Below are 17,079 nucleotides of genomic sequence, written 5' to 3' on the forward strand. Positions count from 1 at the left end.
TAAGGGAGAAAACTCCATATCTCAGCCAGAAATAAAAAGCCTAAACTGCAAATACCCAGAAAAGGTAAAATAGAGACAGAAACTTAATCATACTAAGGTAAAATCTAACAACAGAATAAAAGACTGAGATCATATTTCTGCAAGTTTTATTAGGGAAGGAGTTGTCGAGGGAGGAGGAAGGTATTCAGTGCTTGTAGGTTATTTGCTAGGGAGATAATATATGATGGAAAGAGAATGTGAGAATCAGAAAGTAGAATTTAAAGTCATGAGAAATTTTGTGGGGCAAACTTCATCTATTTTGAATTGCAAGAAAATAACATATTCTTGTCCACATAAACTTACGAAGGTTTTTAAAATTCTAACTTCTTTATGTTTAAAGTGCTTTATTCCACAGCTTTGATAATCCAATATTATCCGATAATCCAAAATAAATTTACAGCCCAGTGAACTACAATCTTAGTATCAGCAATTCTACCTGTAGAAGCACATCCAACAAAAGGAAGAGGGGGCCCCAGGAGGCCACGTTGAAGAGGAGTACCCTACCAGGTTTGCCATTTGGAGAAACGAGGACAATGAAAGTGTACTTTTTCTGGGAACTCAACCTGCTACCAGCTGATAGTCATCTTAAGAGGCACTTTTCTATAAATCACTATAATTTAAAAACCAAATGCTTTGAAACTCCTTTTGCCAGATCAAATCAAACTGACTCTCAGTTGGTGGAAGGCTCAGATGTGAATTTCATAACACACATCAATTACTATCTAATCCATCACTTGTAATGGCTGAATGTGCTCAGCGCCATTCCCAGAACCAGTGTCATGGAAACAAATAACAGCATCTAGATAAGAGTAGAATTTTAAAATGCTCTCATCACTATCTGCAAAGCATGAGTTGAGCATGTGTAAGCACATGCTTGATTTGGCCTTTCAATCTCAAGCCATATCATCTCTTGAGCTTTCTAGAGCTCAAGCTTTTAGGGGCAAGAGATATTGCCATGTAAAGATGTCGGTTTCTCTAATGGCTCCTAGGACACTTTTTTGGTGATAGCCAAAACTTTTCAGGTAATGGTATGTCCCCTAACATGTTCATTAACCTCTGTGATAGGCACATGGGTGTCTTTCCACATAGAAAATATTGGTTAATTTTTGTCCTTTACACTGTCATAAGTTGCTTTCAACAGAAAATAACATTGCTAGTCTACACAATGTAAATAAGCTGACATAAATATGAAATAGTACACAGTCTATTTGAACAACCAAACCATCTTTACAGCTAAATTTCTAATCCATTATCTCCCTAGAGGGGTTGTGGCAGTCATAACTTTATTTTCTACTTGAACTGGCCGACTGGACCATGGTCAATTATCACAGTGAGAGATTATCATCATCATCATCATTACCACCATCATCATCAGCATCACTAAAATTTATCTAGTGCTTAGTATATGTCAGATAGTGCTCTGTACATGTTATATGTACTAATTTATTTTACCCTCTTAAAAATCATTATGTGGTAGATATTATTATTATCCACATTTTACAAATGAGGAAACTGAGGCCAGAGTGGTTAAGGAACTTGTGCAGGGTCATACAAATAACCTTGGATGTGTTGAGCGCTTGACAGAATACAAAACCTGTCCTCTGTTGCTTGTTCCATAATTCCAAATTTTTACATGCACAAACACACTGCCCCCTAGTCTTTCTGACTAGCTAGAATATTATCCAAAAGAAAGACAGATAGGTAGAGGAGATGTGAAGGTACCACTAGGGAGATTTCCTTGCACCAGTCATGTTAGCTGTTTAAAGAGAGCATCCACAGGGTTGATATTGTGGATGCCTGGTGTGTGGCTTTGGAGGTCCAATGTGTAACCTGGAACCTAGGAACTCCTTGAATATGCTGCTTGGGAGCATGGCCCAGGTGGCACAATCACATGGAAATCATCCCAATGTGAGTATTGGGATCTCAGGTGTTACTCCTTTTGTCTGCTCACTCTGGGCACCAGAACCTTAACTGTACCACCATAAGGGATCCGCCAGGTTAAAGATTTCATGGAGGCTACAGATGAGTAACTACAAAGACAGATTTTTTTTTTCCTATGGAATGAGAGCTAGAAGCAATTTTCTATGCTTTTAAGCAAAAACCATACAAAAGAAAATGTAAAATTCACTGGACCTTAGAGTACTTAACATTATATGTGGCCAATAGTACTCACTCTACAAATATTTTTCTTTCACTTCAATTCCACTCCTTAAAGAATTGGTGAAGACTCAGCCATATAGGGCTAAGGGAAATGTCCCTATTCTAAAGTTCCTTTCTAGGTCTCTCCTTACACTGTCCATCATATTCTGTGTATCCCACACTACCCTTGTCATGTCTGTGCCCTGTGCTTTGATGTGTCATTTCCTCATGCACATTTCTTCATTACTAAGTCTAGGTAAATTTTAGTCTTTGCTTTTACCCTTGCACAGGATGTGGTTTAAGTATAGCATTTATAGCAGTAGTATTTCTAAGGACATTTGCTTTCTCCAGTACATTTTGCAGTGCTTCAACCCAGGCAAGACTCCTCTTTCAATACACATGGACCCGCATGCTGCTGTCACCTGTATGGCCCTGCTTCAGGTCACTCCCAGTCTTGCCCCACATTTGGCCACTGTAAGATCATTGGAGAATTTTTTTTTTTTTTTTTGAGATAGAGTCTTGCTGTATCCCCCAGGCTGGAGTGCAATGATGCAATCTCAGCTCACTGCAACCTCTGCCTCCCGGGTTCAAGCGATTCTCCTGCCTCAGCCTCCCAAGTAACTGGGACTACAGGTGCACCACCACGCCCAGCTAATTTTTTTATTTTTAGTACAGACAGAGTTTCGCCATGTTGGCCAGGCTGGTCTCAAACTCCTGACTTCAGGTGATCTGCCCGCCTCGGCCTCCCAAAGTGTTGGGATTACTGGCGTGAGCCACCACGCCCAGCTGAAATTTTTTATTTTGTTTTGCTCCTTTTGTTGACAAAAATATTTCCTAGATTGGAGTCTCAACAAAGGATGACTGGCCTTCCCCCAACTCTTTGGGGGACAATACGCTGTGTTTCCCTACCCATCCTTATATTTTATTGCTGAAATAATTGTTCTCATTGACTTTTTTTTTTTTTTTTTTTTAGACGGAGTCTCGCTCTGTCGCCCAGGCTGGAGTGCAGTGGCGCCATCTCAGCTCACTGCAAGCTCCGCCTCCCGGGTTCACGCCATTCTCCTGCCTCAGCATCTGGAGTAGCTGGGACCACAGGCGCCTGCCACGACGCCCAGCTAATTTTTAGTATTTTTAGTAGAGAAAGGGCTTCACCGTGTTAGCTAGGATGGTCTCTATCTCCTGACCTCATGATCTGCCCGCCTCGGCTTCCCAAAGTACTGTGATTACAGGCGTGAGCCACCGCGCCTGGCCCTTATTGACTCTTCTAAGAGAGTTAGTACATGATCTAGCTTGGCTCAGAGGAAAGAAAATTAATTCCCCAAATCTGTTTTAGGTGCCTGAAACAGGACACAATAAAGGGGAAGCTGAGAAATCATTTGTGATTTGCACATGGTGCCCCAAAGAAGGATTCTGGTCTCAGTTGGTGCTGTCAGTAGCTCTTGCTGTATTCTCAGCCCCTAAAGCAATAATTAATGTACCAGGGTAATAAGTTTCCATATGCTATTATCTAAAGAACTAAAAACATTTTAAAATCCCATAAACATGTGACCTAAAAACATACTCAACAAACTCAGTCAAAAAACAAAAGACTAACTTTTTTGTTGTTGTTGTTGTTATTTTTTGAGGGAGTCTTGGTCTGTCGCCCAGGCTGGAGTGCAATGCCACGATGTCAGCCCACTGCAACCTCCACCTCCCAGGTACAAGCAATTTCTCCTGCCTCAGCCTGCTGAGTAGCTGGAACTACAGTTATGCGCCACATACCCAGCTAATTTTTGTATTTTTAGTAGAGACAGGGTTTCACCATTTTTGCCAGGCGGGTCTAGAACTCCTGACCTCAGGTGATCCACCTGCCTTGAACTCCCAAAGTGCTGGGATTACAGGCATGAGCCACCATGCCCAGCCAAGAGTAATCTTTTATATTTGTTGAACTGCCAAAGAGAAGTTCATCCTTCAGCTCCTACGTTTGTTTATTTGTTTGTTTTATATCTAATCAATACTTTGTATTAGAAATAGTCTTAAAAATAACTTTGAGTCCTTCAGTGAAACAAGCCCTTGAAAATATCATACAAATAGTAATACAATAGAAAAATCAAAGCAATTTAAAACTTAAGGTATCATCTGGATGCAAGTAAAAAATGTTCAATTCAACATGGATGGAGTTAATAATAAGGAGAGGGAGAAAAATGATTGGCTCACAGAATAAAAAGTTCAGAGAAACCTGAACCAGGGGTTCAAATGGTACCATCTGGACTCGGTTTCTCTCCACCTCTTGGCTCTGCAAATTTCTAGGTTGACTTCATTCCCAGATGTACCCCATCTTTATGGTGACCTTATAGCTCATGCTTAACTCAACCCAGAGCTAGCAATTACTGCAGAAAGGGATAGTCTCTTGCCCATAATTCTGATAAATGTGCAAGAATTGAGCACCATTGTCTTAGACTAGGTTATATGCCCATCCCTGAACCAACCATATGCCAAGGGAATATAATATAGCAGAATCAGGGTTGGAGGGAGGTGCTGCATGCAAGGCTCGTCTAAACCTCATTTACTGAGGGCCGGTTCCCAAAAGTAAAATCAAGGTGTCATTACCAGAACAAAAAGGGAAATGGATGCTACACAAGCTAAATAAATAAATAAATAAATAAAATGCACAAACCACTTCTCAAATGAATTAACTTCCCAACCTGAGCTTGTAAAATATTGATAAGAATTTTTTAAAGGAATTAAGCACAGTAATACAGTGCCACAAATCCAACTCTTGACTAATTGGCAAAGGCAAGAATACATACATAAATGTATTAGAACAGTAGCCCTTCCATTTCAACAACAAAAAAATATGTGGGTCACTCAGATGGAAATTAAAATCTGAATCTAGTCCGAAACAATTGTTAACTCGGTTCTAAAGTTATGAGCATCCAAGTACATACTAATACGCTCCCATGTCAAAGAGGTCCTATTCCTCTTCACTTCAGTTTGCATCCTATTCTGACATTATACCATGTCATGAGGGCCCACTGCTCTTGTATGCAAAGCAGGTTCAGAGTAAATGAGCTAAAAATGTCTTATATACATAATGGCTCTTGTCTCAACTTAGCTGTGAATACTAGATTGCTGCAAACACCAAAATAATAGTGCTGCTAATGAGGAGATTTGTTCATAACTTACTACACTGTCAAATTTAATGTTCAACCATAATGGTTATTATTTATTGATATGTTGTGTGTATACAAAGCAGTGGCTGAGGCCAAAAGCAGACTCTTAAGAGAGTTCAAGCCTAATAGATTATGAAAAATCTCCTAAAGAGAACTATTTTTTTAATTTGGGGGCCCAAAATGTTTGTTGTTTATCATATCTTGATTGAAAAGACAGAGGTCTAGAAATAAAGTCAGAATACTAGGGATCATTCTATAGGAGACTAGAATAAATTTACAAGTGACAACCTCCAGTGCTGGTGAGGATGCAGACAAACAAGCACTTTCATACCTCATCAGCGGAAATGCCTTTGATCCAGCCTTTTAGAAAGGAAGCTCACATATATATTAAAATTTTAAAAGCATTTTAAAGTTTTATAAAATTTTAAAAGTCATATTAAAATTTGACTCAGCAATTTTACTTCTGGGAATCAATCCTGTAAAAATTGAAGTATCAGTACATAAATACATATATAATAAGGAAGTTTATTGCAGTTGTGTTTGTAATGGCAAAAACTTGAAACAACCTACCTGTCTACAAAGGGTGGAAAGTTTGAATAGATAGCAATGGATCCATATGGTGCAGCTTATCATGCAACTATCAAAAGAAAGAGTCTGGCCAGGCTCAGTGGCTCACACCTGTAATCCCAGCACTTTGGGAGGCTGAGACAGGCAGATCACCTGAAGTCAGGAATTTGAGACCAGCCTGGCCAACATGGCAAAACCCCATCTCTACTAAAAATACAAAAATTAGCCAGGCATGGTGGCGTGCCTGTAATCCCAGCTACTTGGGAGGCTGAGGCAAAAGAATCACTTGAACCAGGGAAGTGAAGGTTGCAGTGAGCCAAGATCACACCACGGCACTCCAACCTGGGCAATAGAGTGAGACTCTATCTCAAAAAAAAAAAAAAAAAAAAGAAGTCAGATTTACATATTAACTTCAAGAGATGTCCATGATATAGTATTGAGAAAAGCAAACTGCAGGGAAGAAGAGAGAGAGATATATAAATAGTATGATCACATCTTTGTTTAAAAGAACAGAATAGTAGAGTTTGAATTTGAGCTTTGCAATTTAAGTGATCTTTGAACCTTAATTCTTTTTTTCTTCTTGCTTTTTTTCATTGTTTTGCTGCGTTCAAGGTTTGCCTAGAAGAACCTTAATTCTTCATCTGCAAAATAAAGGCAATCTTTTTGTAAGATGATGATGAAAATGACTTCTGAACTGTAAATAACAACTAAATGTCATATAATATTCTTATAAAATGGTCTTGTGTGAGTCTGAAGTGTAGGCTCCACAATGTCCTCAAAGGGTAGTATCAACTTGCAAAGTTTTATTTGGGTGTATCCATGCCAATATCAGGCACCTCCTCTGGTTTCCAATTGTGTGCAACCAGATTCACAAGGGAGAAGACAAATGGTAAATTATACTTAAGACCACTGCAGATCACTCTTAAAATGCCAAGAAAACAACTGCCCATGTTCCTCCAAGGAGTCACACAATCCATTCAGTACTTTCAGGACTGACAAGATCATGTTTATTTCAGTGGCTGGGTAAGTAGAGCATCATAGAAGATAACAGCTTTGTAGAAATATGGTTGTATATAAAAAGTGTTTTCACCTTTTAAAGTCAATACATTCTCTCTCCACCTTATCCTAATAGATAGTTTTAATCATACAATAAACATAATTTTATATCCCATCTCTGGGCCAGATGGCCTGCATTCCAATCCTGGGCTCTACTTCCAGCTGTGTAACCTTGGAAAATTACTTAACCTCTGTCTCAGTTCCTTCATTTGCAAAATGGGAGTAATAATAATACGTACCATGTACGATTGTGATAATTAAATGAGTTAAAACATGTAAAGAATGTAAAATTGAGATATTAGCTAATAGGTACTAAATAAATGTTAGTTTATTATTAAATGCTATTATCTTAATCTTTCCATTTAACACAAATATATACACTTTTCCCATATTTATTATATAGTCTTCATAGCCAACATTTTATTGGTGCATAATAGTATATAAATAGCATACTCTGTTAAGTGGGTGTGCTATAATTTATTTCAACATTATTCAAGACATGGGAATAATGCTTGCTTCTTATTTTTCAAAATTTTTTATATTTTACATTTATTAATAATATCTTAATGTCTTTGTACAGTGACTTTTTCCATATTCTGGATTATTACTGTAAGCTCGATCCCTAGAAAGAGTTTAGAGGAATAATTGGTATAGAAATCTTTAGGTATTTTGATACATCTTGAAAGTTGGACTTTTGATTATAAAGATTCTATCTTTGCTTATTCCTTTCTGAACCTCTACTCAGAACTTGACACAAGGCTCTTCATCCAGCCATTCAACACCTGCTGATATTTGTTCTCAAGGTACATTTAAGAAAGGTCATTATAAGAAATTACCATATTAAAATTCATCTACAAAATTATTTGAGTTTCATCTTTAAAAGATAGTTTTCTAAGTATATAATCACTTCATATTAGAGCTTTGTTGCTAATAAGGGAAATTTGAACTCCAAAAAAAACCACCAGAAAAACCCACTTACTCAATGATATTTTTAGCACGTAAAATTCCCCCTATGAATCATATGCTCACAAACCATGCACCCCTAAATATTTAGCTCCTTCTGACTCATTCTGAAACATTCTGACAACTTCTCCATTGAAATTTAAAATTTCCCAATACTGTAAGATCCTCCTTTCCTCTAATTAATTAGTTCCCTTTCCCATTGGCAAAATGCAGTAGTGATAATCTCTACACTTACAGACTGTGGAATGGAGCACACAGCTGGAATCTTTCACTGCCCACAAGTCTACATTTTCCCATCTTCCTGGTATGTCTCTCTCACCTAATACTGGATTTTCATTGCCCTCTTTTCCTGCCACTGACAACCACCACCCACAGGTAAAATCTTATCCTTCAAAATCTTGGATGTGTCCTAAAACCCCATTTTCAACTGTATTAATGAGAGTTCTCCAGAGAAACAGAACCAATAGACTATATATATGCATATGTATGTGTGTATAAAATAGAATATATATGTGTATACATATAGAAAAAGAGAGAGAGAGATTTAAAACGAATTGACTTATATGATTATAGAGGCTAAAATGCCCCAAGATTTGCAGTTGGCAATCAGCAAACTAGAGAACCAGGGTAGCCAATGGCATAAGTTCCAGTCAGAAAGCTTGCAAGCTGAAGAACCAAGAAGAACCAATGTTTGAGTCTGAAGGCGGGAAAAGACCAATGTTCCAGCTCAGGCAGTGAGGTGGGAGGCATCCCCCCTTACTCAAGGGAGGTTTAGCCTTTTTGTTCTATTCGGGCCTTCATGTGATTGGATGAGGCCCACCCATATAAGGGAGGAAAATCTGCTTTGCTCAATCTATGGATTCAAATGTGGATCTCATCCAAAGCACCCCAACAGATACACCCAGAAATAATGTTTGACCAAATATCAGGGCACCCCATGGTCCAGTAAAGTTGACCCATAAAATTAACTATCACACCATCTGCAGACTCTGGTTTCTGCGCTCTCTCTGCACCGTTTGCTTAAGAAATCACACCCTCTTCACTAATATCTGCGGATTGATGCAGTCTTTCTCTCCCATAACACTCTGCTTACTTCCTACTCTACTAGCAACACACTTCCGAGTGCTCTGTCTTATGCGGGGGTCACTCCACACAGAAAGCTCCCACCACACATGAGAAAAATTGAATTCATAATGTTTGTTCTCAATGGCCCCTTCTCTTATTGTCAATGATTATAGTACCCAAAAAATAAACATGGAACTCATTCCTCAGGTATTTTTCTATTCTGTTGCTACAAATCACACCAGGTTGCTGGTCTGGCCAGCTTTCAAGTTTCTTTGCCACCAATTATTGAATTAATTAGTTTTCCAGCAAGCTTGCTCTTTGTTCTGTGTAGTACATAAATGGCACTCGGGGTGGAAAGTTTACAGTAAGAAAGCAAGACAAGTGCTCATTTAAGTCACCATGAAAAGCACTTAAAACCCCCACACCTTCCAAGTAGACCCTCACTGACCATTATCTACCTCTCAGGCAGGACCAAGTGAGTGGCTTTAGAGACCTGAAAATTTCACCTCAGCGGCCTTGCATGAACCCAAACTAAATTTGAAATATAAAGTCATTCTTTGAAACCTCACTGGAAATGCTAGCAATATGTCTGGGTGATGCTTCTGGCTGGCAAAATGGCAAGTCATTTATCCTTTCTGCCCTTGTTTCCTCATATGTGAAATGAGGAACACTGACTCACTTCACAGGAAGGCTGCATGCGTTTAATTAGTTAACAACACACATCAAAAATACAAACTGCAGAATACCTTTGCTCAGCCGGAAGCTCAGTAAACCTGCCAGGAGCATTCATTGCTTAGTTGATCTAACCTAGATCTTTCCTTACGTCGTGGCTCTGGTTCTGCTCTGACCCATAAACACGTTTTTGTCTACATGTACAGATTCTTACAGACACATGGATTTTAGATTTCTATTTTAATGTTTTCTTTTTATGACTGCAATTGTTGAGGTTTTATGTTTTCTTTATCAAATGTTCACTAAGATCCCTATTTACTACAGAAAACTTTAGACACCCATGCCAAAAAATTGCATGTCCGACTAGCATATCCTAGCCAAATGAGCCCACATCAAACTCAGCTTTACTTTCCTTACTCCAAAGTACCTTCTGTGACTAGACAAAAGATGATGGAAACTTCATCCTAGAACATCAGACCCTGCCAGGCACATTTCCATCTGTCCTATTGAAGATTGCCAAAAGCATTTTCTGAAGATTTTTTTCTCATAAAATTCATCAATCAAAAATTCTTTCAGGCAGAAGTTATTTAAGGACTAGGAAATGTAGTGATTCCTTCCCTGACTGACCTCTTGGACTGCAGGAGACACACCTAACCACAATGGAAGGAGGAAAACAACTGATGCACCGTCAGGATCTGTTTACTTCCTTTCAGCCACACACTCCCCACTGCCACCAGCACACATACAGACATTCAGCCTAAGTGATCAACAATCATAGCCTTACAAAAAAAGAGGAAATCAGGTGTCTTGAACTCTAAAGGAAGTGGGAAACTTCACAGCTAGAGCCTGGAACCCAGAAGTTAGGAGATAAATCAAATTGATGCCAAGGAGGAAAGGTTGAGGCCAACAGCTTGGGTTTGAATGGATCAATGGCTGGCCAACCAAGTCAAAAAGTAGCCTGACTATGTTGACATTGGAGCAAGGGAAAGTCTTGCTGATAAGCAGTGGCAGGGATAGAAAACATTCATATTAAATGTGTTTGTTCTCTTCTGCAGTGAAGACTAAATAGTTGAAGGGGAAAGCCTTCTTAGATTCCTCTCCTTGAACTAGCACTGTTAATTTGCTAACCTGTGCCAAATTACCAGTCACCTCTCATCAGTCCTCTCTTGTCAGTCCTACTTCTCAACTTTTCCCAAAGATTCTTAGGACCACTAAATCTTCCCACATCCAGTTCTCTTCCTTTTAGGCCCTTATTGCTTCAGGCTCTTCTTTTTTCATTTTTCTCCTAAATAGCCATGGCAGAATTATGCTGGGACATTGTAGTTTCTAGGTGCATTAGTATGTGAATTAGTCTTTATTTAAAGAAACTATGGCATGCCGATCACCATGTTGGGTATATAAGAATGCTTTTAAAAAATGAAGTCATTTCTTCTACCAATAAAATTTTCTTTCTAATTAAAGAGTTCATACCACCACAAATACAATAGCACTGAAAAAATGCATTAACAAAATGAGGTATAGGCAAACAGAAGTCAAGATACTACCAAATAAGCAGAATCCAGAGGTCCTAAAGGAGCACTCTCCAACCACAACCCCAGGAAATGAGGTCAGAGCTAACTGGGGAAAGTGATCACTCCAGCTGCCTTCACTTCTTACTTCCTATTCACTCCTTCACCCTCTGGCATCTGGCTTCCTTTCGCCATATGTTTGCTATCTAGCAGCTGATGGTTCTCAAATTTAGCATGCATGAGAATCACCTAGAGGGCTTGTTCAAACAGATTTCTGAGGCCCACTCCTAGTGCATCCAATTCAGGAGGTCTGAGATGTGGCCCCAAAATTTGCATTTCTGAAAAGTTCCCAGGTGATGATGATGATGTTGCTCTCGTCCTAAATCTTTCCTCCTTGTGAAGCTGCTTAAAATATTGCTTTGGTCAAATCCCTTCAAACTCTAAAATCCACCCTGATTTTTGTGGCCTAAATAATGAATTCCCAAAGCTGACTCAGGTATTAGGGTCTCTGCAATCTGCCCTGACCTTCAGACAGAGGCCAGATGGACACCTGTTGAGTCAGTGGTAGAATAGACTCCCGCACTGAGCAAACTTCCCTTCCAACTCTCCAATTGTATCAGGTATATCCAAGTTTTAGTTTTATGATTTCTCTGATAAAATCATGGCTTCAACCAATCCATCCTACTAATTTTTTGCGCCAAGATTCCATCTTAACTATCACATACGCACCTTTGTTAATGAGATTCACATTGATTTCTGTCTTCACAAATCCTAATCACCCATCGAAGTCAAACCCAGTGCCTTCTTTTCTACTGGTGTTCATAATTCCATGGCTCTCGGGTACTTTGTATTTAGTCTTCCCCTTCTTCTTCTTCCTCTTCTTCTTTTACTCCTCCTCCTTCTTCCTCCCTCCCTCTCTTCCTCTCTCCCTTGAATTATTCCTATCACTATAAAACATGATTTAGAACCTCTTACCCTATAAAAAATGGTTAACAATCACAACTTAAACATATGAATCACATGCCTACCATCTACCAATCGGTCCATTCCTTTGTTTGCTTTTACAATTTCTCTACACATAGCTTCTTTACTTTTTCACTCGGCATTCATTCCTTCTTCAATCCTCTGCAATTTAGCATCTAGCTCCACTAATTTGCTCATTTTAACTCACCAACAATCTTCTCTGTGCCAAAGTCAACAAAAATCTTCTCACCTCATTCACCTCTCAATAGTAGTCAACATATTTACCAATTTCTCTCTTCTTAACTCTCTTCCTTCTCTTGGCTTCCAGCACTCCACACTCTTTTGCTTTTGTTCTTACCTCATTGGTCACTCATTCTCAGTCCTCTTCCATAACCTCTCTTTTACTCAGCCTCCAAATTATGGAGTGCCCAGGAGCTCAGTGCTGGACTCTCCTCTTACTATCTACACCCATTCCCTACATGATCTCATCTATTCTCATTGCTTTAAATATTGTCTGTCCACCAATGACTCCTTGTTTTACCTCCAGGCTTAACATCTACTTGGGGCCCAAGACTCTGTCTTGATATCTTAATTTTGAAATATAATATGAACACTAAACTTACATATACTGAACTACTAGTTGTCCTCCAATTCCCTCTCTTCATTCTACTCCAATCCTCCCTCTCTCAGTGAATGGCACTATCCATTAAACTTAGGCCAAAAATGTAGACATCATTTTAATATCCACCCACATTCAATCTGTCAGTAAATTCTCTACATTATATGAGCAAAACATATCTCAAATACATCCAATTCTCTCCACCACCATTGCTGCCACCCTAAACCAAGCCACCGAAATCTCTTTCCTAGAATATTGCACTAGCTCCTAAGTGGCCTTCCTGCATCCAAGCTTGGCCTTCTTTCATAGCAAACAGTTATCTTTTAAAAACATAAATAACATCACATCACTCTCCTCCTTAAAATATTGCAATGACCTCCTATTTTACCTAATATAAAAATCAAGCTTCTTACTATAGCTATAACATCAGGCTGTTGCCTCTCTCATCTCAGTCAGTACCACAGCTGACTCCCTGCAAGCACCTTCCTCAGGCCACTTTGGTTTCATTTTGTTCCTCACACAAGCCAAGCTCCTTGATCTTAGGGCTTTTACTATTCCCTCTTTCAGGATCACTGTCTCCTAGATTTTAATCTGGTTGACTCTTCCTCATGCTTCAGCTTTTTAACTACAAATGTTATCTTCTCAGAGATGTCTTTTTTGACCACCCTGTCTAAAACACCCTGAATAAAAAGGCACTCTCTATCTTACCACTTTGGTAAGAATTATCATAATCTAAAATCTTCCTAATTTTGTTTTCATTTGTTTACTTGTTTGTTATCTGTCTCCAGCTTCACCTCCTAATGTTCCCTCAACTAGAACAGAAACTTTAAAAGAATAAGAAACGTATCTGTATTTTTCTGTGATTTATTCCTAGCATCTAAGACTAATGCTTAGCATTCTGCAAAAAACATTTGTCAAAAAAATTAAATGAATGGGAAACCCATCTATGAGACTGCATGGGTTACAGAAACATACAACTCCAAAATCTCAGTGGGATAAAGCCACATTGATGTGCATCTTATAAATGCTATAGGGCTCAGTTCATCGTGATTCTTCAGGGAAAGTGACTGACAGAAGCTTTCTCACAACATTTGTGTCCATGAAGATCACCACACCAGTCAGAAGACAAGATGTGGCTAAGTGGATGCAGCTGTTATGGTTCCCAGCAAGAAGTGATGCATATCAAGTTTGCTTGCTTCAACCAAAACAAATTATTTGGCCAGGCCTAACTTGAAAGAGGGTTGGAAAGTATTATCCTACATGAACCCAGAAGAAGGAAGAATGGAAGTACTTGGTTAGCAGCATTTAGGACTTTCACATTTACTTTCAACTGGAAGATTTCTTCCATTAGCGGAAAAAAAAAAACAATGGAAATATTTGGTCATATGCACTTTTGGCTTCTACATGCTGTATAGTAGATGCACCTGACAGCAATAACTTAACTTAAGCACACCCTGAGAATGACCCTGTATGGCAGAAACACCTGACAGCTATAACTTAAGCATACCCTGAGAATGACCCTATGGTCTAAGAAGAACATGTGTTTGGAGTTCCAAGCTAAGGAATCTGAGAGTGGCCAACCCAGAGACTCGCTTCTTATCCATGAGGAACATCAGAACTCCCAGGCCATCCCATGGAATGCAGGCCATACAGGGGATGAAGGCCCTTTGTTTTTGGTTAAATGAAGGTTGCCAGGTGGAGGTTGCTAGGGGGAGGGTGCTAAGTAAATATTCTATATAAATTGCATGCTTTTTACAAGTGATTGCAGTTCTTCTCTCCAGCCTGCTGCCACTACACCGCCCTGTATGTAAATTCCCTCAATTAACCCCATGTCTTGTTCGCTGACTCCAGGTTTCTTCTTCAGCCTCTTGAACATGGTGCCATCCCTATTGAAGTAAATAGGGATTCAGCCTGACACATTCACCTTGTACTTCACATTTTCTTCTACTGAGTCAGTCTAATGTAACCTCTCTGAATACCTCTAGCACTTGTTTCTATAATCCTCACTTCATGTAATTGTTCAGTCATCTGTCTCCCTGTCTACATTCAAATAAGGAAGGCAGAGACCAGATCTATTTTTTCCATTGTATTCTGAAAACCTAGCACAGTACCTTTCAGTTTTATTTTTATTTTGAGACAGAGTCTCGCTCTGTTGCCCAGGCTGGAGTGCAGTGGTACAATCTCGGCTCACTGCAACCTCACCTCCCAGGCTCAGCTATTCTTTTGCCTCAGCCTCCTGAGTAGCTGGGACTACAGGCATGTGCCACCACACCCAGCTAATTTTTTTGTGTGTGTTTTTAGTAGAGATGGGGTTTCATAATTTTGACCAGGCTGATCTTCAACTCCTGACCTCAGGTGATCCACCTGCCTCTGACTCCCAAAGTGCTGGGATTATAGGTGTGAGCCACCGCACCCAGCCTCAGTACCTTTCACATAGCAGATTCTGAACAAACATTTGTGGTAGGAATGTCTTGTAGCTTTTCGTGTGTGTGTGTGTGTGTGTTTATCTGCACAATTAGACTGGATATTCCTCTAACACAGTACATAAAGACAAGAATTTATATTCCACATATCTTCCAGCTGACTCATCCGGGAGATATTCACATATTGGCAGGAATATGGGAAGGAATTGTTGAACTAAACCGATTAGTTGTATTGGGGCTACTCGTCTAGGTGTGAAATGCAAAACACCCCTATTAAAAAGGTGCTCTCAAAGCCCCCAGCACCAACATCTTATGAACACAAACAGAAGACGCACATTGCCGTCCCTGGCCTCCTGCAATAGATCACTGTCAGTTTTCTTTAGTAGGGAAAAACCAACAGATGATTGTGTGGATTTTCTTGGTTCTTTTGCTGGTCAGTCTGTGTCTGGAAGTGAAACTCCCCTTTCCACAGGATTTCATCATAGCAGTAACCACAAGGCTCGAATTTTGGTCATTGACAGTGCTGCAGCTCAGCTGTGTATCCTAATGTGGAAAAAAAAAAAAAAAACAAACCTGTGTTCCACTCCCTTATGCTCCCTTTTCTTATAGCGCCAAATCCTAAAATGATGTTAAGATTAAAATTGGTTCCTTCTTGAGCAGAGTCATCCTGTGTGATGACAGATCTTTCTCTAAGACCTTTACTGCATGAGAGAATACTACAATGTCATTGAGATTTTTACATTCAGGAAATATCCTTTGGCTACCAGGTGGTTTCTTTTTCTACTGACAAGTTCAAAGTACAGATATTCGGACATCTTCCCTGCTGCAATGCTGTCGAGCTCACTTTAGACAAAATGCAGTTTCAGTTGACTGAGTACTTCCTTAATCTTCCAAATCACACAAGTAATATAAGAAATCAGTGTGGCATACTAGAAAGAGAGAGGCCTTCTTGAATTCCACAGCCTATTATGGGCAAGTTACTTAACCTGAATTTCAGCTTCCTCGTCAAAAAAATGAGGATAATAATACCTGCCTCACAGCATAGGAAGTGTTCATCTGTGTTCCTGGCACACAAGGGATATTCAATAAATGTTTGTTGTTTTCTAACAGCTGCTTTAACTGTTAAACAAGGTACCAATTTAAAGTCCCTTCAAATAAAATCACCTCACAATCACAGAGTTGTTTGAGCTAATGAACACAAGCTCCCACAGCAGGGATGGGCAACATTCATTCTGTGCATGAATGTTGGCCAACAGCATCTATGCTGGGACGTGCAACTGTGCTATACTCTGATTTTTTCAACTTCCCCATGTTTTCATCTCAGATATATAGCTTTTCTAAAATGTATCATGGTTTTACATTGTGATTGGGAGTGTATATAGGTATAACTTGTTTCTATAAAGAACAATTTAGCAATATCTATCAAAATATTTAATGCACAATTCTTTGAACCAGCAATTCTACTTCTAGGAATTTAGTCTATAGATATGCTACCACATACACAATATGAAATATGTAGGAAAACACACATTCTATTATTGTTCATAAATAGCAAAAGATGGAGAACAATCTAATTAATGCCCATTAATAGAGGAGTAGTCAAACAAATGATGGTATGCACATATAGAGGAATACTGTGAATGAAGCAACTATAAATACTGCCAGAAAACAGTCTCCAAGGTGTCATTCAGCAAAAAGAACAAGATGCAGAGCAAAGTCTATGATATGCTGTCATTTGAAGTAAAAAATGATGTGCACATATATGGTGTAAACATACAACATCCCTAGAAGGACACAGAGGAGACTGATAATGTTGGTTGTGTCTGGGATGGAGAAACAGGTAGCTTTGGCAAAGGGTATAAGAATAGTTATTTTTCACAGAATAACACCTTATAACACTTTGAATTTTGTAC

At 39.1% G+C, this 17,079-nt stretch overlaps 1 annotated feature.

The window, feature by feature from the left end:
- Positions 14,669–14,878: an enhancer, noted in NCBI's record as "active region_16613". NCBI's record gives its function as "activates an Ori minimal core promoter by ATAC-STARR-seq in GM12878 lymphoblastoid cells {active_cell/tissue: GM12878}" and the evidence as "EXISTENCE:reporter gene assay evidence [ECO:0000049][PMID:35858748]".

The sequence above is a fragment of the Homo sapiens genome, chromosome 2, assembly GCF_000001405.40.
Source record: "Homo sapiens chromosome 2, GRCh38.p14 Primary Assembly".
NCBI classification, from domain to species: Eukaryota; Metazoa; Chordata; class Mammalia; order Primates; family Hominidae; genus Homo; species Homo sapiens.